Source organism: Homo sapiens, chromosome 16, assembly GCF_000001405.40.
Source record: "Homo sapiens chromosome 16, GRCh38.p14 Primary Assembly".
NCBI classification, from domain to species: domain Eukaryota; kingdom Metazoa; phylum Chordata; class Mammalia; order Primates; family Hominidae; genus Homo; species Homo sapiens.
The window spans coordinates 61,918,189-61,941,514 of NC_000016.10; the positions used below are offsets into that span (position 1 = coordinate 61,918,189).

Consider the following 23,326-nt stretch of genomic DNA (forward strand, 5'->3'; position numbering starts at 1 on the left):
CCTATGTACTTATATTAGTAATAATCTGTAATGAAAGGGGAGTACACACAAACCACTTCTGGTACATACCGAACTATGAGTGTCGACTCAAGAGTGTAGCCTGGAGAGGTGATCAGGGAGGAGCCAAGATGGCCGAATAGGAACAGCTCCGGTCTACAGCTCCCAGCGTGAGCGACGCAGAAGACGGGTGATTTCTGCATTTCCATCTGAGGTACCCGGTTCATCTCACTAGGGAGTGCCAGACAGTGGGCGCAGGTCAGTGGGTGCGCGCACCATGCGCGAGCCGAAGCAGGGCGAGGCATTGCCTCACTTGGGAAGCGCAAGGGGTCAGGGAGTTCCCTTTCCGAGTCAAAGAAAGGGGTGACAGACGGCACCTGGAAAATCGGGTTACTCCCACCCGAATACTGCGCTTTTCCAACGGGCTTAAAAAACGGTGCACCACGAGATTATATCTGGCACCTGGCTCGGAGGGTCCTACGCCCACGGAGTCTCCCTGGTTGCTAGCACAGCAGTCTGAGATCAAACTGCAAGGCGGCAGCGAGGCTGGGGGAGGGGCGCCCGCCATTGCCCAGGCTTGCTTAGGTAAACAAAGCAGCCGGGAAGCTCCAACTGGGTGGAGCCCACCACAGCTCAAGGAGGCCTGCCTGCCTCTGTAGGCTCCACCTCTGGGGGCAGGGCACAGACAAACAAAAAGACAGCAGTAACCTCTGTAGACTTAAATGTCCCTGTCTGACAGCTTTGAAGAGAGCAGTGGTTCTCCCAGCACGCAGCTGGAGATCTGAGAACCGGCAGACTGCCTCTTCAAGTGGGTCCCTGACCCTGACCCCCGAGCAGCCTAACTGGGAGGCACCCCCCAGCAGGGGCATACTGACACCTCACACGGCAGGGTATTCCAACAGACCTGCAGCTGAGGGTCCTGTCTGTTAGAAGGAAAACTAACAAACAGAAAGGACATCCACACCGAAAACCCATCTGTACATCACCATCATCAAAGACCAAAAGTAGATAAAACCACAAAGATGGGGAAAAAACAGAACAGAAAAACTGGAAACTCTAAAAAGCAGAGCGCCTCTCCTCCTCCAAAGGAACGCAGTTCCTCACCAGCAACGGAACAAAGCTGGACGGAGAATGACTTTGACAAGCTGAGAGAAGAAGGCTTCAGACGATCAAATTACTCCAAGCTACGGGAGGACATTCAAACCAAAGGCAAAGAAGTTGGAAACTTTGAAAAAAATTTAGGAGAATGTATAACTAGAATAACCAATACAGAGAAGTGCTTAAAGGAGCTGATGGAGCTGAAAACCAAGGCTCGAGAACTACATGAAGAATGCAGAAGCCTCAGGAGCCGATGAGATCAACTGGAAGAAAGGGTATCAGCAATGGAAGATGAAATGAATGAAATGAAGTGAGAAGGGAAGTTTAGAGAAAAAAGAATAAAAAGAAATGAGCAAAGCCTCCAAGAAATATGGGACTATGTGAAAAGACCAAATCTACATCTGATTGGTGTACCTGAAAGTGATGGGGAGAATGGAACCAAGTTGGAAAACACTCTGCAGGATATTATCCAGGAGAACTTCCCCAATCTAGCAAGGCAGGCCAACGAACAAAGAACAAAGAAACAAAAGAACAAAGCTGGAGGCCTCACGCTACCTGACTTCAAACTATACTACAAGGCTACAGTAACCAAAACAGCATGGTACTGGTACCAAAACAGAGATATAGATCAATGAAACAGAACAGAGCCCTCAGAAATAATGCCGCATATCTACAACTATCTGATCTTTGACAAACCTGAGACAAACAAGCAATGGGGAAAGGATTCCCTATTTAATAAATGGTGCTGGGAAAACTGGCTAGCCATATGTAGAAAGCTGAAACTGGATCCCTTCCTTACACCTTATACAAAAATCAATTCAAGATGGATTAAAGACTTAAATGTTAGACCTAAAACCATAAAAACCCTAGAAGAAAACCTAGGCATTACCATTCAGGACATAGGCATGGGCAAGGACTTCATGTCTAAAACACCAAAAGCAATGGCAACAAAAGCCAAAATTGACAAATGGGATCTAATTAAACTAAAGAGCTTCTGCACAGCAAAAGAAACTACCATCAGAGTGAACAGGCAACCTACAAAATGGGAGAAAATTTTCGCAACCTACTCATCTGACAAAGGGCTAATATCCGGAATCTACAATGAACTCAAACAAATTTACAAGAAAAAAACAAACAACCCCATCAAAAAGTGGGCGAAGGGCATGAACAGACACTTCTCAAAAGAAGACATTTATGCAGCCAAAAAACACATGAAAAAATGCTCATCATCACTGGCCATCAGAGAAATGCAAATCAAAACCACAATGAGATACCATCTCACACCAGTTAGAATGGCAATCATTAAAAAGTCAGGAAACAACAGGTGCTGGAGAGGATGTGGAGAAATAGGAACACTTTTACACTGTTGGTGGGACTGTAAACTAGTTCAACCATTGTGGAAGTCAGTGTGGCGATTCCTCAGGGATCTAGAACTAGAAATACCATTTGACCCAGCCATCCCATTACTGGGTATATACCCAAAGGACTATAAATCATGCTGCTATAAAGACACATGCACACGTATGTTTATTGCGGCATTATTCACAATAGCAAAGACTTGGAACCAACCCAAATGTCCAACAATGATAGACTGGATTAAGAAAATGTGGCACATATACACCATGGAATACTATGCAGCCATAAAAAATGATGACTTCATGTCCTTTGTAGGGACATGGATGAAATTGGAAATCATCATTCTCAGTAAACTATCACAAGAACAAAAAACCAAACACCGCATATTCTCACTCGTAGGTGGGAATTGAACAATGAGAACACATGGACACAGGAAGGGGAACATCACACTCTGGGGACTGTTGTGGGGTGGGGGGAGGGGGGAGGGATAGCATTGGGAGATATACCTAATGCTAGATGACGAGTTGGTGGGTGCACCGCACCAGCATGGCACATGTATACATATGTAACTAACCTGCACAATGTGCACATGTACCTTAAAACTTAAAGTATAATAATAATAATAATAATAATAAAAGAAAAAAAAAAGAGTGTAGCCTGATTGTTTCATTTGTAAGCTGAACTAACCACTTTATTTGTAAAACCTCATGTTCTTGAAAAAAACAACTGAAAGCAAACTATGGCTATTCTGACTTCTGTATTTAGCAGATATTTTATCCAAAATAAATACAACTAGCTTATTCTTTTAAAGATAACCAACCATAGTTACCCACATCAAAATCTGAGCTTTCTAGCAAATACTCGAATTTCAGAAAATCTGTCCCCGAACAGAAACTTCTAAATACTTAAATATTTTTCTGTGAAATTGCTGATGTTACAGAATATGATTTTTTGATACTGTATAATAAAATCTGGAAGTTCTACATAGCTCAGTAAACCAGTATTTCCCAAATACATGATGTTAGAAAATTATTAATCAGCAAAAGAGCCATTACAAGTGCAAAAGAGCAGGGCATGGTAATCTAAGCACTTTGGATTTTGAGGTCATGGGGGCCAGCTGCATGGCTCACGCCTTTAATTCCAGCACTTTGGGAGGCTGAGGCAGGCAGATCACGAGGTCAGGAGTTCAAGACCAGCCTTGCCAACATGGTGAAACCCCATCTCTACTAAAAAATACAAAACTTAGTCGGGCACGGTGGCATGTGCCTGTAATCCCAGCTACTCAGGAGGCTGAGGCAGGAGAATTGCTTGAACCCAGGAGGCGAAGATTGCAGTGAGCAGAGATTGCACCACTGCACTCCAGCCTGGGCGACAGAGCAAGCCTGGGGAAAAAAAAAAATAGAGGTCACATCGATTCTAAGCCACCTCTTCAGAGACAAATGAAATATGCAGCCGAAGTTGTCCACAAAATAAAACGAAGTCTCAATTTCTATTGTTGTGTGTGCACACAGCCCCAATAATTTAGGACAGATTTTCCTAATCATAGGACAGAAAGAATCCAGGCCTTTGATAACAAATATTAGCTGTCTGCCGGATCAATACTGTAGTGCACTTTAAGGAAATAAACAGCATGCACTCCTAAATATTTTCCATGCAAATTTTGTGTAAAAAACAATCACCTTCTAAAGATATTTTTATTATATGAGGAATTCGCGTTTACTGTAGAATATGTGGCAAATTAAATAAGCATACAGAGCAAAATAAAACACTCCACCCAGAGGCAACCATCTCTTTATTATTTATATAAAAAGACATATAAAGAGAGAACTATGCTACACCTGAGACAGTATTTTATATACCATTTTGCATCCTGCTTTTTTCACTTTATTGTTTTTAGATAATGACATGCCAATTTTATGTATAATTTGTATATAAATAATGTACATGTGAAAAACTTTTTTATGAAAGTTCTTTTTAGAGATCTGTTGATGAGAGGGACTTGAATTTTCATAACCATTCCCACTACTGTCCTATGTTGAGGCAATTTTCACTTTGTCATGCTTATAACTAATGCTATGTCCAGGTTTTTGATCCAGAAGCTGTCAAATGTAGATTCATTCACATGGAAAAAATCTAAAATCCAGGCAATGATATAAATGTCTTTTTAAAACTCTAAAATTTATAAATCACATACAAATTTATGCAATTTTGGAGTGGGGTATTTTTAAACTTTATTCTTATTGAGAATAGATGAATATAGTTCAAAGTACATGTGATAATTTAATACATTCATATAATTTGTAAAGAATAATTCACTGTACTTGGGATATCCATCACCTTAAATATTTGTATTTTCCTTATGCTAAAACCATTCAAATAATTTATGCAGTCTGGCAAAATATAATTGCCCACCTTCTAACAGTTGAGAAATGAATAATAAAGCTTATTGACCGGTAACAAAATACATTGTGTCATGTTTCTACCAATAATTCATATATGATATTAAGCTGTATCAATGCTGTCTTATACGTTGCTTCATTTGATTTTTCCCACAACCCTGGGGAATTCTTCTGGCCATGAACAAAATTAGATAGCTTGAGGATTAGAACACAGGCGTCTTCATTCCAAATTCAACTCCTTTCATTCCACCGTCGGTCAGACACTCAATAAGTATTTTATTGTATAAAAAGCATTATCTGAACTAAAATTAATTGATAATGGACATCCGCACTCAATCTTTTTAGTCCTCAGTGTCATCACTGATAACTTTTGCCATTAATAACCAATACAAGTAGCAGCATAACGTTTGGGAAAAAATTATAGGGTTGGCATCACAAAACATGGGTCTGAAAGCTTCAGTGTATGACCACAGGAAAGTCAAATTTATTTTGCTTTAATTTAATGAATATTTTAGATATGAGGAAATAAACTCTTCCCTCTTTGAACTGTTGTGAATAATAAGTGAAATACTATATGTCACATATACAACATAAAGCTGGCATATTCAAGTTCCCTGACCAGAATATTGTCAGGTGAATATTGTCTCAGGTTATTATGAAGCCCTGGCAATCTAGATGGCTAGAGGATATATATATATATACATCACATGTATATATATTTAAATATATATAAATATATGTGATGTATATATGTGATAAATATATAATATTTAAATATATATTATATATGTGATGTATATATTTGTGTATATATTTAAATATATTATATATTTACTATATATATTTAAATATATACACATATATATCTCTTTAGAACAGGGTAAACTTCTGCAAGCATCAGAATCATGGGTATCAGAATCATAAGTAAAAACACAGATTACTGGGCCCTCTCTAGCAATTTTGGGATGGGACCAAAAAAAAACTTGGATTTCTAAGAAGTTCCTGGGTGATGCTAATATTGTTGATCCAGGCACCACACTATGAGGACCGCTGACTTCGAGATCAAAAAGTTATTCCTTTCTGTGGTTGTTGTTGTGTTGTTGTCGTTTTAATCCTGATACTCTAAGTGGGATGGTATTATTTGGCAATGCCACTTTTAATAAGTGGTTCGAAATGTTTCCATTAGGGAATAATCAATTTTAGGTTCCAAACATTTTTTGGGACTTTTGAACATTCACTTCTGAATACTAAAACACTTGATTATGTTGAAATATACACAACCCTTTAACAATTATTTATAATACTTCTACTGTGTGCACAGCCTATAGGTTCTCACGCATCATCTTGTTAGAGGCCATAGCAGATTCCCATTCTTCTTACAGAGTTAAATATCAGGCCAAAGTTACCTGCTCACCCAGATACACAGGTACATGGGATATTTAATAACAAAATTCCTTCCCCACCTCTGACCTCTACATTCACTACTGAAAGTTGTTGAAAATAATAAGCTTGCTAGACTTCATCAGTGTGTTCTCGTGTGAAGGTTAAAGAGCATCATACTCAAAAATTGCAGTCATGAATATACAGGATCTTGGTGATTGATGGAACAATATAATCAGAAGAAATGAATATTAGTTTCTGTTTTTTTTTTTAAAAGAAACACTTAAACTAAAAACCTTCTTATCCACGTAGTCATCTTTAGTTACTGCAATTCTAAAATTCAACCTTCTATTTTTGGCCTCTCCTCCTGTTTGGGCAGAATAAATCAATAAATAAAAACGGTTTAAATAAAGAGCTGTTAATTGTCCTGAGGAGGATTATTTGTAAGACACTCTTAATGTAGGATTTCCATAGAGTTGCTAATTGTTCCGTACTTTGAAATTCGTCGTTCTGAGAATGAGATGCAGTTGGTAATGTAAATATCAACCAGGTAGAGGGTGTTACTCTGTATTAGCATCCAGATTATTATTCAGTCATAATTAATACGCTCCTAAAATAAAGTGTTGACAGCACTCCTATTCAATCATATAGCATATGTTTATAGTCTCACACATTGAGGTACACACATAATTACAATATATGTGTGAGAAAAATTGCTGAGGCAGTCCAAGAAGCTGTGCTTACACTAATTGAAAACTGCCATTGTCCAATTAAAGCAGGTGAGACCACAGGGTGGCAACACTGTCAAAAGCCAATCAGACATGGCCACGCTGGTTAAATTACAAGACAAAATAAAATAAGAAGAGCAAACAAGATTTTGTTTTTCTTGTTGTGGTTGTTTTAATAGAACACTGAGAAGCTAATGGCAATCAAGATACTCATTGTTTCTCCTTACCCCAGTTAAGAATTAATCTCAATAAAATACTATATTATTACAGAAAATATTGAGTAGCTCAAAAGCACAAGGCTCACCTTTCACCAAAATTGATGCTATCAGAAGGAGGAGAAACATTATTTTTACTGTTAGAGATGTGACTTTGATGACTTTAGAGAAGCTAAAGGAGTGTGCTATTACAATTTGTTTTATTTCTATTTTTCTCCATTAGGCCTCATTAGGAAATAATTAATGCATCATGTGTAATTACAGAAGAATCACTCCACACTCATTTCAAAGCATCAAGCAACATGAATTTCAAGGGGAGTTTAAAGTAGGGTCACTCATCTGCAAGAGCACAATATACTACTCCTTTGAGGAAATGTATGTCATAAAATGTTAAATTCAAGACTCATAGTAAATATCCACTTACTCCATAAATGTTTTGACTTCTGAAGTATTTTTTTAGCAGGACACAACAAAGCAAAACAGAGTCTCTAACATTATTATTTCAAAGGTGACTCCAACCAGGATCAGGTCAGAAAGTAGCAGAGAAAAGAGGAAAAGATGGAGAAAGAAGAAAGCAATAAACGTATATTGAGAATCTACTATATACCATATACTGTTCAAATTGCTTTACATACATTACTTCATCCTTACTATACCTTCACAAGGTTGTTTCTTTTTTCTCATTTGATCAATGAGAAATCTGAGATTCAGAGTAGATAAGTAACCTGCTCCAAGCCACACAAACTAATAAGAAGCAGAATCATAAAATGTTGATTTGGGACTCAGAAGGGGTGTGTGTGTGTGTGTGTGTGTGTGTGTGTGTGTGTGTGTATACATTTACCTTACAAGTGGGAAAATAAAATCTATGTTCCAAATATGGGAAGAATGAAATAGAATAAACATTCATTGAGGTTTGATCCTTTGGCAGATAATTTAAATCACAAGACAAAAAAATAAGAAAACAGATATTTGAACCCAAGTATGCCTGACAGCAGCCCATTAATCTCCAATACTTCACATTCCTTTCCAAAGTCTTCTGATTTATTTGTAGACAGTTTTTCTTCCTGTCTTTGTAACACCTTCAAATTAACACCCTGATCTGTGTCCTTGTTAGCTATTTTTCTAAAGGGTCAGCTCCTGCATTCACCAACAGATGAAAACCATTAGGTGGTAGAAGGACTTTTTTATATCCTTAGGGTTCTGTGACACCTGACAGATGGAGCATATGCCCACAAACAACCCAGCATTTAAGCAATTGTTGTCTGTGCAACAGAGACAGGCAGAATGCAGTGTGCTCAGTCACAGGAGGCACTGTTAAAGGATTCATAATTTTGATTCAATAGATTCCATTATTTCTTTTGTGAGTCTACATGAGTCTCTTTAATAGTAACGGCAATTTTATGTAGACTCACGCTGGAGACTGGCATCTAGGGTGTGCTGAGCTAATGGCAAGGTTTGGGAGGAAAAATGGATACAAAGGGTCTCATTTAAGATATTATGTACTTTTTATTTGAAGTGGCTAATTACTGCCATTGAACTCTGCCATTCATACCTTTCATGACAATTTCAAGGATAAAGAGTAAAAAACAACAGACACATTAGAAGGCATTGCATGAGTCATCGCCTGTTATCTGAGTGCTCCACCAGTTAGCCTTGGAGATCATTCATATTCATTTCTCTCCTTTTTTCATTTTGCCTTGATTCACTTGTCATGTAATTCAATATCCTTGTACAGTAGAAAGAATATGGGTTTTGAAGTTATTCAGTCCTCAACCCCAATCCCAGCTTTGCGATTTAAATATCAGGTAACTTCAGACAAATCATTTTACTTCTCTTAGCTTCAGTTTCTATATTGCTACAGGGATAATACTATTTTATGGAGTCAGTATGGGGTTTACATTAACTAGAAGTATGCCTGTTAACTGGAAATAGTAGGTACATGGGTGTAGATATAAGTATAGTAGATACAGATCTTGATTTGCTAAACATTATTTTATTTCTCCTTCCTTAGGTCTTACACTAAACACACACACACTGTACATATTTTTAATGTTAAATCATAGATATTATATATGTATATTTATAAGTATAAATATTTGTAAACTAATTCTAGAATTCTATTTGAAATAATGCTAAAACTGCAATTATAATTTTAGTTAGATATATGCCTCCTAGACAAATATCAAAAGGTTAATAATTACTTAATATTTCCACATAAAAGTCACATTATTCACTAGTTCCATGACTCAAAACTAGGCTTTCTGTGTTATTCAAATCATGAGTAATGTTGGGGTCAGGTGGCACCCCGTCAGGCACCCCATCAGGTGGCACCTAATGGCCCAGGCATCGTCAAACTCTGTGCCAGGGGCAGGATCTGTTGTGATGCCTCAGTAGACATGGCATGAGGGGCCCAGTGGCCAACATGGCTACCGCATGATACTGAAGCCTCAATGTATCCATTTCAAATATATTTGTTGAAGATATTGTTTAACAAGAAGAGTAGGCTAGTTAAAATATTTGAAAATCATTGCTGTGGATACACTAATACCTATCCCTACACTACATACGAACACATGAGAGCTCCATTGCAATATTATTTGTATAACCAGTCCTTCCCTTCGGTAAAGTTAGTTCCACTGAATTGCATTTTGCATGCAATAGTTGCACTTTTGTGACCTACATTAAGGAATGCTAGAAATTAAAAGTCCTATGAAATACCTCACTGTGGTATTACATGGCTGGTTTTAAGGACATTGCTCATTACAGCACCTACTGTACCACTAACAGAAAATACTTAGGGCAAAACAAGTAGTCCCAACAATAAGACAGTAACCAAATTTCTTGATGTGAATCAGTTTATTTTATCTTTTAGGTACTTTGATTTGTACTACTCATCAACTTTCACACTTCACGATGAATACTGTGAATCTGAGAGTCAAATTTTTGGCCCTGTCAAAACCAAAGTTAAAGGAATTCTATTACATAATGTTGCATATTAGCTACATTTACTATGCCAGTTTTGCTCTTTCATGAAGAAACCTTGTCAGCTCTAAGACATGAGATAAGAAAGCTTGTGCCATCTATGGCTCTTGACTGTCCTGGGTAACTGCATCTATCATGTCCCTGCACTATACCTCCTCAGTTGCTGCCTATCTCACCTCCAACTCTAAACCTGGAGACAAGGACTGCACCCCTAGCCACTGAGTGTTGTAACCTCTTGATTCTAACAGTGGCCACTGTACTAATGCTCCCACTAACCATAAATAGTAGAGGTTTAGCATTATTTTAAATGAGCAAATGGAAATCACACTTTATTTTAGACACACTATGAAAATGGGTGATATAAGGACTCTTTATAGGTGCTGTTGTATAAGCCGTCTCATCAAAATATCCTTTGTCTGTCTACATTGTATTCTAAGAGGCCTACACATTTGGGCCTAAAATGGCATCTGAACATTGTAGAAAAGGGACATCTACATAAAAGCAGAAGTGTCTGTCAAGTGACATACATTAGACTGTTCTTTAATAGGGCTTATAGAGTTGTTTTTAGGTTTTGTTTTGATTTGAGATGGAGTCTCGTTCAGTTGCCCAGGCTGGAGTGCAGTGGCATGATCTCGGCTCACGGCAAACTCTGCCTCCCGGGTTCACGCCATTCTCCTGACTCAGCCTCCCGAGTAGCTGGGACTACAGGTGCCCGCCACCATGCCCAGCTAATTTTTTTGTATTTTTAGTAGAGACGAGGTTTCACCTTGTTAGCCAGGATGGTCTGGATCTCCTGACCTCATGATCTGCCCGCTTCAGCCTCCCAAAGTGCTGGGATTACAGGCGTGAGCCACAGCGCCTGGCCTGTTTTTAGGTTTTTACCTGTTGTAAACTCCTGTGTTATGTATTTTCTATGTATAAGCATCTTGAACCTTGGTTTCCTATTCTGTACGGAATGGATGAAATTACATATCTAGTAGCTTTGGTATCAACACAGTCATCCTGAATCCAGAGCTCTTTCTCTTAACCATGTGACCAAAACAAAAATCTGACTACAAAAGGTTTGGGCTAGGTGTTTTCATTCTCAACTATCTCAGAAAGGGTTGGCTGTTCGCCTACATGGATTCGAGATTCTTATGAAGAGACCTATTATACTGACTGAGCTTACCAGCAGTGATTTCCAACAAATCCACAAATGGACTTATTGTACCTTATTTTTTAACAGGTTGGGAATCAATAAATCAATCAACAAATTGATACAAGACTGGGTGCACTGGGTCCCATCTGCAATCCGCCACTTTGGGAAGCCAAGATGGCAGTATATCTTGAGGTCAGGAGTTGGAGACCAGCCTGGGCAACATAAGCTGACCCCATCTCCACAAAAAAAATTAAAAATTTTAGCCACACGTGGTGGCAAATGCCTGTAGTTCCAGCCACTTGGGTAGCTGAGGCAGGAGGATTGCTTGAGCCCAGGAGTTAGAGGCTGCAGTGAGCTATGATCAAGCCACTGCACTCCAGCCTGGGTGACACAGCAAGAACCTAGTCTCTTAAACAAAACAAAACAAAAAAATTGATATATTCAAAACACATGTCAATTACATGACTCAGCCAAAAGCCAATATTAAATAAAGTATAGTCATAAGTCAGTTTAACATACGCAGAGTTTGTTCTTCTATGACTCTGTTCCATAACAAATATATGTAAGAGATGGCATTTAAACAGAAGGTTGATTGTTAATCAGTTTGTAATCACAGTAGTGATTATAACTGAGAGCTGAAAAACAACTACTTACTTATATTTGTATTATCCAGTGCCAAGAGTAAGAGAAACATTTAAAGTAAAAAGAGCTGTCAACAGTAAAGGTAAAAATTTTATTAATAGAGTGATTGCCCAGGATTTTCTTGTTTAAATTAACTAAAGTTAGAAAACACACACACACACACACACACACACACACACACACCCCTATGTATACGCAGGCATTTTTTAATGAGAAATTCAAATTTATTATGTTTAAGTGCATATAATCTTTAGATGCAAATTAATGAACTGTTGCTAGGATGCACCCCAACTTAAGAACAGGATAAGAATGATTTGAATTTAGCACATTAAGTCACTGACCTTTGCTTACACTACAACTAGATGGCCTATTTGTCAGTGCACCCTTGAAAAGTATTTGAAAGTAGCTTATTTCTTCTATGCCAAAAGGACTGTAGGTTTACAACCCTGCATTGACCTTTTGAATTCTGAATTCATCATTCACAAACCTTAGGAGACACTTGCTTTGGGCTTAGAATATGTGTTAAGAACTATGTGGACCCTTTATTTCATAAAAATAAGCCATAAACTCTTTTTCAGTCCTGGTAAAATAATTTCCAGATTTAAAATGCCTAAAGTAAGAGTTTGTACTATATCATTTATTTCTCCTTGGACCATTAAGGATTTTCTAACCACAATTTTGTCTAGTTAAGAAAAGTAGTCTCTAGATATTTGTCTGCAACAAAACAAAAAGCCATAAATGTCACCCCCAGCGAAATTCCTCGTGTTATTCTTCAATGTGTAGCTTGAATAGCCCAAGAGATAAAATGCAAGCTTTCAAAAAAGTCAAACTTGCTTCCAAATTGGGTTTGACTAGCTAAATGCTCATTTAGCCACATTATCAAATTAAACAAGTTACTGAATAGTCATGTCAAAGACAGTACTTACTGCAGCATTTTCTGTGTATTTGATTACACCATTTCGAAATTGTGAGATATAAACGTACAGTAACAATATATCACTTAAAACGAAAAAGTTGAAATCATGAGGACCTTTTGTTTTGTTTTGTTTTGTTTTGTTTCAGAACAGGGTTTCACTTTGTCGCCCAGGCCAGAGTGCAGTGGCGTGATCACTCCACTGTCATCTCGAACTCCTGGGTTCAATCTATCCTCCCACCTCAGCCTTCCGAGTAGCTGAGGCCACGAGTGCACACAACCATGCACAGCTAATTTTTAAAAAATAATTATTATTTTCGTAGAGACAGGAATCTCACTATGTTGCTCAGGCTGGTCTCAAACTCCTGGCTTCAAGTGATCCTTCCACCTCGGTTTCCCAAAGCACTGTGATTACAGGCATGAGCCATTGCACTCAGCCTAATAAGGACTTTTCTAAAAAAAACATTCATTAGGAATCACCTGTTTCAGGGCATTCTGACTGAATGAAATATAAGCAGTATGTTGCTCTTGTCACACTGCTGAGCCACTTTTCCTGGATATTAGAAACCCCCACTTTCCATGATCAGTAACTATGCCACCAATGTCATTTGGGCCCCTCAGAAAGATTGTGAGGGATTTCTCCCATTTTAATGTAAATGTTACATAAAAGTAACATTAATTGTAAATGTTAAGCAAAATGTTAGACAAAAATGCTACCCACAGTTATAAGACGTACCCTTAAAACATCTATAATACTAAAGGTGTGGTCCTAGGATTTCTGCTGAAAACATAACACAAACATGTTCGAGGGAGCTCATGCACATATACACAGATCTAACGTACAACTGGCTTAGAAGAGAAATGTGATAGAATATAATGAAAAAGCACAGGCTGGGCGCTATGGCTCACCCCTGTAATCCCAGCACTTTGGGAGGCCGAGGCGGGCGGATCACGAGGTCAGGAGATCGAGACCATCCTGGCTAACACGGTGAAACCCTGTCTGTACTAAAAATACAAAAAATTAGCCGGGCGTGGTGGTGGGCGCCTGTAGTCCCAGCTACTCGGGAAGCTGAGGCAGGAGAATGGCGTGAACCCGGGAGGCGGAGCTTGCAGTGAGCCGAGAAGGCGCCACTGCACTCCAGGCCTGGGCCACAGAGCAAAACTCCGTCTCAAAAAAAAAAAAAAAGAAAAGAAAAGAAAAAGCACAGAATATTTCCATGACCATAACATATTATTAATTTAAAAGAGAGCACTCTGGGATCTATTAGAGATATTGCTAAAACAAAAGATGAAGCATTACTAAAACAAAAATGTAATTCAAAGATTTTGAATAGATGTACTCTAAAGGTGTGTTAAGAGTGTATATATTTGTTTCACCAAATATATGCTCCAAACAAGAGCATATTTATGCTCCGTGTAAAAGTTAATCTGGAGTAATGTGATTTTTAATATATATAGTGTCCTTAAATATTGTACCACTCCCGTATAGTGACCCAGAACTCTCTCAGGCATACAGTAAAACAATAGTTTAAGAGTGGTGAAAGTTGTATCATTACTTATTTTCTGGGCCCCGCTTCTCATTTATTATTTTAAAAAGCAGTTGTTTCATGACCCATTCTAAACCCTGTGGATATAAGAGTGAATACGTCAGAGTTGTTTCCTGTCTTCTATCAGCTCCTAGAACTTGATTTGAATTTCACAGGAAAAAACACAGTAACTTTAAAATAAAAAATAACCAGTTGCAGGGAAAAAAGATCTCAACCTTTAGCCTAGTACTCTAAACTTTAATGTGGACCTGCATGCACCTCCTGGGAATCTTGTGAAAATACATATTTTGATTCAGCAGACCCAGGATGGGACCTGAGGTTTTTAATGTCTATGAAGCTTCCAGGTGATATTGAGGTTGTGATCCAGGAAGCCGTTGGACACACTTTGAGAAGCAATGCAGAAATCCATTCTTTGGTCAGTATAAATGAGGGATAACCGCCCTTATTAAAAGGAAGTAATATTGATCAAGGAGGCTGTTGTCTTCTTTCTTACTCCTAATAACACTGAGAGTGAGACCTTCTCATCTCTATTTTAAATATATGAAAAAGTAAAGAGAGACTGTACAGCCAAATTTAAATCTAGGTTCAGTCCAAAGCTCTTTGTCTTTCCAGTTAACCTCATTGTTCATCAAACGAAGAGAATCAATATTATTCGAAGTGTTTCAGAAATTAGAGTAAGTCCAGTATGGTCAGGCAACAGAGGAGAGTGACAAGAGGAGAGGCTGTATTTGCAGGCAGTAGGCTGTTTGTGGGCATCGTATATTATGCTGCGGGCATAGATATATTAGGGATATTGAACTTTTACCCACAAGGTCTTGGAGAAACTAACAAATGATTTAGAGCAGGAGAGTAACATGTCCAGACATGTATTTTTGAAAATCATTCACATTCCAGTGTGGAAAAATGACTGAAATAATGTGATTTTGAACTTAGAAAAGATTTTTTAAATTACATATATCTTTTTAAATATGTAGTGAAATAAATCAGACGAGGAAGGATAGAAATGTGGCTTAGGGTAGCAGCAGCCCAAATGGAGAGACAGTGAGATTGAAGACATATTTATTGGGATAAATTATTAATGAGGATACTAATTAATCTATGTGCCTGTTTTTTTCTTTTAGTGCTGGTGGTGATTTTTTTTGTTTGTTTTTTGCAACCTTCACATGTGGCAAAAGAGACAGAGCTCCAGAAGATTTTTCTCCTACTAATTTAAGGTCTCATATGGTCTAGTACATTTTACATTAGCTTTTACAATGTTTCCCAAAGAGAGATACATATGTTAATTTTAAGTAGTATAGCGAGAACAATTTTAAAAATACATGGATTTATTTTTCTCTGACTAAGGAGAGGAACTAACACATCAAAACCTGCGATTGTAGTAATAATATTGGTTATGTCAGGTCAGAAATCATCTGCTATATTCAGACGGGATCAATAGCAGGAATGTGTTTGGATGGTGCCGGCATATGGTGCAAACTAAGAAGATAATACCTGAATAAATGAATTTGCCTCATCCCACACCTTACAGAAGCACTGAGTGGTTCCCTGATTCAGTGGAAGCCAGACATCCTATCTAAACCTCTAGAACACCAGGGTCCCGGCTGCTGAGAACTCCAGGCACACGAGGCTGCTTGGGAAAGGTAAGTAGCAATATGTTTCAGAAGCTTTAGAGGAAAAATATAAAACGTGCTTGGAAATCTGAACAAACGCCCACCTTCAAGCCTTCCCTCCTAATAAGCATAGCTTATAACAACAAAAGGCCTCTGAGAGGCCTTGGGTAAGTTGTAATTCTATGCTAGTTAGTGTAAATTGAGGAACAGAAACAAATGGAAAGCTTATGTAAAGATTGTGGAGGGACAGTATACGATATTGTATCCTATGCATTTAAGAACATGGGTTGTATGTCACCCACATTTCCTATGGTATATATGCCACTTAACCTTAAATAATTTACTTATTTTATTACAGTATTTTAGATGGGAAAATATAAAGTCAAAACAGAACTCTGCGAGGTAGGTGTCTGGTATGAAGCAATTAATTAATGGAAGCTTAACTTATTATATCATTATGAGTACAATGACTCTTTCCCTGCCCCTAAATGGATTTAAACTCCTAACCATTTCCCATTCACCTTTGTATCTCTGGCACTGGGCACAATGCTTAGTGTGTTGTTAGTATTCAAGACACGCTTGTAGAATTATTCCATGACCACAAGCACTAAAATCGCCAGAGAATTTAGGTCTGATTGTCACCCGAAGCTTTTCAGGGATAAAAATGTGAGCTTCAGCTTCCAGTGCAATAATTACAACTGCAGGACATGACTCCAAAGTTACATCTCATGCCAAGTCCAAAAGAAGCAGACCAGATAGAAAACTGTGTTGAGAGGGTTGCCTGCTGGAAATATTTTGAAATTTTAACACTAATATTAACTATCCCATCATTTTTTGCATCTTTTGCAAAGCCGTGGTGAATGAGGCCTTTATATAAGAGAGGAGGAAATGATTACACATGGATTGGACATTAGATGACATTATTGATGATAATACTCCAGCGTCCTGCAAGTTATCTTTAGAAGAGGCAAAAGTAGAACAGTTACAGTCTATCTGCTTTAAACGAGCCTGATAAATGTCAAGCTGGGATGGAGTTATCCTATTTTGAATGCATCAGTAAGCTTTAGGATGTTTATGTATGATGTATAACTAGAAAAATGAAGTCATCATATTATTTTATATGAAATGAATTAACCAATATATTTTCATTAAATTTCCATTAAGCTCAAATACAACTTTATGTAGGCAAATCCTGAGTGGAGGAATTTAGAAATGATGAGTAGCAATAGCATATAGCTGAAAATAAATATCTACAACTGTTTCTGGACTTTAATAATATAGTATTGAGAATGGAACTATACATTTGAATGTCCTCATCTTCATCCCTATCCTGATCAGGAGCTGACACTTACATACCTTTTATGGGAAAGGAAGGAAGAAACCTCCCATTTATTAAATAGCTATAAAATTTTGTTTCTAAGTCTATTTCCTGTGAGTTCACTATTCATTTTTCTCTTTGGCTTTATGCTTATTATTTTTGGAGCATCTAGTGTATGCCAGACATTTTACTGTGAATTAAAAGCACCTAAGTATGTAAGACACTTGTGTGCTCATCTATTAGACTCTGTGCACCTTGAAAAAAGAGAAAATAAACAATGCATGCAGTATAACATCATGGGTACATTTTTAGCCTGTTTAGGAGTCAGTGTGGAAAGCTGTTCATTATTTTTTGGTGACGGGGGCTGTCCATGATAAATTCACATAGTCATAATGCTGGGAGCTAGATCTTAAGAAAGTAAGAGAGTAGGCATTGTGAAGGTTTACAGCACAAGCTCTGGAACTGAATTTACTGAGTTCAAATCCCAGAGACCCACCACATACTAGCTGTGTCCTTTAAAAAGTTAAGTAACTTGTCAGTAAATCAGTGTTTTTATCTCTAAAATGGGGGCAATAGTAATACTTACCTTATAAATGTAAGAATTCAATAAGCTAAATACATTAAAAGAATTTAAAGCATATCTGTCATTGTATATACTCAAGGGATATACTTACATTGTATTAATAAATATTTGCATTGAATATTTACAGCTCTTACTTTCCATTTCTCCCTGGTAAGAGAAAAAAATAGCATCTGAGAAATAATGAATAATGAGAGGAGAAGCATGAGTTATGGGGCATTCAGGTAAACAATTATATAGTGCTGAAAATAAAAATAAAAACACCACCAACATTTATTGAATATTTAATACTGCCAAACAACCATGCTATGTTCCTGTGTTTCATTCTCACAACTCGGGGCAGTAGATAAGGATTGCCAAAAATCATTAGTTTTCTAACAAGATTAAAAAGACAAGATTGCTCATAACTCTATCAAGGAAAGGATATATGTAGCTACGAAGAGCAATGTGAGAAGTCACTTGGAGATGGCAACATGCCACCCGCCTCCCAAAGAGGCATGTTCAAGTATTCAAGGATCATCATCCTTCTGATATCTAAGAAAGTTAGATCCAAAAAAACCTGAAGTCTTCTGTCTTGCTGAATGGGATATGCAAGTATGGGGGTCCAGAACTTAACTGATCAGTACAGAGGAGACAAAACTGAGGACTGCCACCAGGGGTCCCACTGATCATTGCCAATGCCCTGTTATGTTTCTCTAATTAAACACTGAATTTAAAAAATAATTTTGGAACACATTAAGAACCTCAGAACTGTCTAATTCTATAGTTTATTATTAACTTCTAAGCAATATTATCTTTTATCATATTCTTATTTTAAAGTAGTTTTAACATTTAGATGCAAATAAAATCACGTATCTCTGGGAGATTTTGTAAAATAGCAATGGCTAGGCATTGCTTCCCTGTATCCTAAAATAGTAGATTGCAGTGGAATTCAGAAATTAGTATTTTTTTAAAGCCTCCTGGGTGATTTTAACCTCCCAGGGTTTTTTCAGGATTGAAATAAACAAACAAACAAATAAATGAATAAAACCGCTGTTATTCTACTTTTCTGTGGAGCAGCACTCAAGTGTAGTTAGTGAGTCTTCTCTGTGAAATATAAATCTTTAATTAGTATACTTATACATTTGAAACTTTAAAACATGGTTCTAGAGCTATAGTTCTCAAAGACTTGGGGATAAAGAACAAGAGAGAGTTGCTTACTATAGCATGATTTCTACCATAGGAAAGATCTTAGATTTGTTCCCTAGAACAGAAGGAAACCACCAAAGGACAATCACTAGGAAAGACGCAGGTTTCTGTCATAGCAAAAATCAAACTGACAAACTGACAATTTGAGATACAATTCAATTGAGAGATTACAAGTCTTAATGCCGGACATCAGCAATCAAAGAAATAAACTTTCTGTTTACTATCTGTTCCTTCCTCCTCACTTTTCTCAGTCTCTGGAACTATGTGGAAGCCAAAGAGGGCAGTAAACAGCAGACACTTTATAGGCAAAATTTTCACAGAATAAAACAATCATAGCAACTCATGTGGAGATTTAACTAAAATGTCATCTACTTCCCAACTTTTAGTTACAATAGAGCTAGTATCACATATCTATAAAGGATCTTGGATATATTCTCCCAAGTCATCAAACCTGAGGTATAAACTTCAATGTCTATGAAGTGAACTGCTTGCCTCCTTAAGGAAAAAACTTTCTCTGGGCAGTAACTGAACCCAGGAGTCCTGAGTCAGGGGCTAAACATCTCATTGTGTTTCCTTCTTTTATCAAGGCACACCTGTTCCTAATTGCATTCTTTATTTCTATTTATATTTTTAGACTGGAGAAGTGCCAGGAGGATTAATTACAGCAGTTAATGTTTCCATTTGAAAGGAGATGATACTCTGTAAGTACTAAATATTATTAAATGTAATGGAATTAAATTGCTTTAAAAGAGACAAATGGTATAATTCAGTATTTCACTGATGCCCAGAAAACTAAAACACTTCATGTTGAGTCATCAGGATAAAAGTAATAGAGATTTTTTTAAATTCTCCAAATCATATATAAAATGATTTCATTGAGTGTGTATCTCACTGATTCCTAATGAAACACAGATCTGTGTAAGACATGAGTGGCTGTAGACAAGTTGATGAGGAATGAATTAATTACCCAGTCATCCCAAATGGCATTTCTTTTAAAATATACATGATTTCCATGTTCTTACTCTCATTTCAGAACTGAAATAGTTCATTCTAGGAGAAGAATAGCATAAAATTAGGAGTATTCACTCCTTGCATTTAGATATTAATGAGAAGCCCCACCATCCTCACTCCTGTGGGAATCTCGCTTTGCCTGAAGGGGAAATATATACAGCTATTTTTTGTTTTCCCCTGCAATAACACAGAAGAGGCCCTACGCCTTGTCCACATGTCTAAGAATTGCAAATATACTTGCTAAATGTTAGTGTTAATAAATAACACATATGGCAAGTAACATTAAAATGTAAGGTACTGCTAATAATTAAGCTAGAAATAAAAAAATAAATAAAGTGCATCTGCCTGGTAACCTCTGGTTGTTAGTCATAGCTGAGAAAAATCCCTCAAATTTGTCCAAAGATCAACATGTTCAAGGGATTTTTATTCCCAAGGCATTTTCATGGAAAAGAGGGTGTACTGAATTGAGGTTAAACATGCAGTAGGCTGCCTGGGTCCTTGACCTGACTTCAGTGTGTACACACTGTGTGAACTTAAGCAATTTGCTCAATGTTCCTGTGAATTAACACAGTTCTCCATAAATGGGATGATACTAAATGAGATGATATATGTAAAATGTTCAGCACTGTGCCAGCTATTTAGTAAGCATTTATTAAATGCTCATCATTATCCTATTACGTGTAGCTGTACAGTATAAACACGTCCGTCACTCAGAAAAAGGAAAGGCTAGGAAGATGAGGAAATCAACAAGGGCTCATTCATAGAGAATAAGGCACTCATCTCTTCATAAGATTCTGAGTTTCTTAATTCCTAGAGGTGATGTTATTTGAGAAATACTTAATGCTCTTTAAAATTGGGTATCAATATAGATATTGGTGTTAGATACAGAAAGATGAAGACGGATAACAAATACTTCTATTTATCACAACAATTCAACTTGTTTCTAATTAGAATTAAGTTTCACATTTCAATTCAGAAAATATTTACAAACAAAACATGAATTGGAAAAAACTTCATTGTTACCTAATCCGGAAAAATAATGATTTCTAAGTCTTCCAGATTATCAAGATTAATACCCGCAGACATCGTTCTAAATTTAAATAAACAAAGCTTGAAGATGGGGAAGCATTATTTTTCCTCCTTTGCAGATTTTTCTTTGACAGCTAAGTTTAATTTATGCCATCATTGGGTAAATATTCACCAGGTGACTTTTACTGCGATGTTTGAAGAACCTAGCTACCTATTTCATAACATGACATTATAATTTATTAGCATTCCAATTAAAAACATAATTTGTCTATAACCTTCAAGTTTATTATTTATACTGCACCTTCCTAGTAGCTAATAAATCATTTGTAATTGACTATAATACCAAAAAGCTAAATACCAAGCCCTATAATAATCTGAAAATGATGGGCTATGCAAATAGATCTGCCTCTCCTGCTACACATAAAGTTAGAGAAAAGGGTAAAGGTTTAGCAATTTGTAGAAAGATGTGAAACAATATTGTAAATAGCTGTCACTAACGGACTATCTGCCATTTCCAGGGACATAAGCATTATTTGTCACATGGCACAGATAAGAAGCTGAGACTCAAAGAATGTAAGAAACCCATACTAGAGCACATAGACTCCAAGTGAAGGGGACAGGATTTTAGCTAGAAATACCTGGCTCACAAAACATCAAACCACTTCCAACACATCTCTTCCAAACCCAAACAAAAGAGGTGCATTCCCTTCTTAGCATATCTCCTTATTAATTCACCCATTTTACCACATCAAAAATAATCAATATCAAAGAGAAAATACAATTCAGTTTTGAATTATATTTCTAGGTTAGTCATAGATTTTTTTTTACATAAAAAGAATTTATTAAAAATAAACTTCTACCTCTTATCTCCTTTGACATCTTTCTTACGTCGAATGCTGCACATCAACGTGAGTCACCACAGGATCGAATTATACTCTGCTCCTTGCCCCATCTAATATTTATTTGCACATTAAAGATAACACGACTGGCTAGAATTGGCTTCTGAATATGTGTGCTCCTTATCAAGGCCACAGTTTACAGCTTTGCTAGGGAGAGCTATGGTAATGAACTACTTGATCTTTTTTTTTTTTTTTTTTTGAGACGGAGCCTCGCTCTGTCGTCCAGGCTGGAGTGCAGTGGCGCGATCTCGGCTCACTGCAACCTCCACCTCCCAGGTTCAAGCAGTTCTCCTACCTCAGCCTCCTGCGTAGCTGGGACTACTACAGGCGTGCGCCACCATGCCCAGCTAATTTTTGTATTTTTAGTACAGACAGGATTTCACCATGTTGGCCAGGACGGTCCCAATCTCTTGACCTCGTGATCGGCCCTCCTCGGCCTCCCAAAGTTCTGGGATTACAGGCGTGAGCCACTGCGCCCAGCCGGACTATTTTATCTTAAAGAGAGACTTGGAAGAGAGGCTGCTGGAATCCCTAAAGTCTACCTGGATCTGATGTAATCATGTCTGGCTGACTCAACAGCAGCGGCTTGGAAATAAAATGCAATACGGAACACCTGGAGAGATGCCTCCTTCTCTTTGTCTATCTTTCAAGCATCCCAGACTCAACTTTTAAGATGTCTCAGATCTCAGGACAAGAGAAACACTTGCGTAATGATAATCATAAAAACAGTAATAGCAGCAATGCTAATAATAAGAAAATGTAGGAAGATGTGGGAATTAGAAATGAGCATATTAATCTTGTAGCATTTTGAATGCACATAGAACTCAATCAAGTTGAACTTGACACAGAAAAATATACAGTAATTTCGTGAGAATGCAAGATTGCTTTCCAACAATTGTCACAATCCACAAGAAAAATAAACAGGTAAGGCAAATTGCATTCATCTTTTGTTCTCATTTTATTCATGTGCAGACTTAAAAGACAGTTTCAGTTGTATGGTGAAATTTCCGGAGATATGACCTAGAAATGTGGCTAATACCTTTTTTCCTCTTCTTTTATTGGAAAGTTAAGATTTCTTCAAAGAGTATCTTCGTATAGATCTTCTTTGACCCAAAATGATTTGAATTATAATAATGAAAAACAATAAGTAAAACAAAGCGTCATATTCTCCCTTGAAATACTCTCTTTTTCTTGATTTGCAGAATATATCACTCTCCTGTTCTTTTTGTTTTGTTTTGTTTGAAACAGAGTTTCACTCTTCACTCTTGTTGCCCAGGCTGGAGTGCAATGGCACAG

The 23,326-nt window shown here is 37.3% G+C and overlaps 1 protein-coding gene and 1 long non-coding RNA gene across 6 annotated transcripts in view, besides 1 other annotated feature; one reads left to right on the forward strand and one right to left on the reverse strand.

Annotated features, from left to right (window-relative positions):
- The window catches only part of CDH8 (cadherin 8), a 389,189-nt gene that overhangs the window by 270,939 nt on the left and 94,924 nt on the right, over positions 1-23,326 (reverse strand). The gene's annotated exons all lie outside the window — the stretch shown is intronic.
- CDH8-AS1 (CDH8 antisense RNA 1) lies at positions 133-22,648 on the forward strand. Its single transcript, NR_186387.1, has 4 exons — positions 133-211; positions 15,924-16,035; positions 19,726-19,792; positions 22,054-22,648. It is a non-coding gene; the product is annotated as a CDH8 antisense RNA 1 (long non-coding RNA).
- Positions 14,731-15,930: an enhancer, noted in NCBI's record as "MED14-independent group 3 enhancer chr16:61966823-61968022 (GRCh37/hg19 assembly coordinates)". NCBI's record gives its function as "activates an origin of replication core promoter dependent on BRD2, BRD4, P300/CBP and CDK7 cofactors, and independent of MED14, by STARR-seq in HCT116 cells {active_cell/tissue: HCT116}" and the evidence as "EXISTENCE:reporter gene assay evidence [ECO:0000049][PMID:35650434]".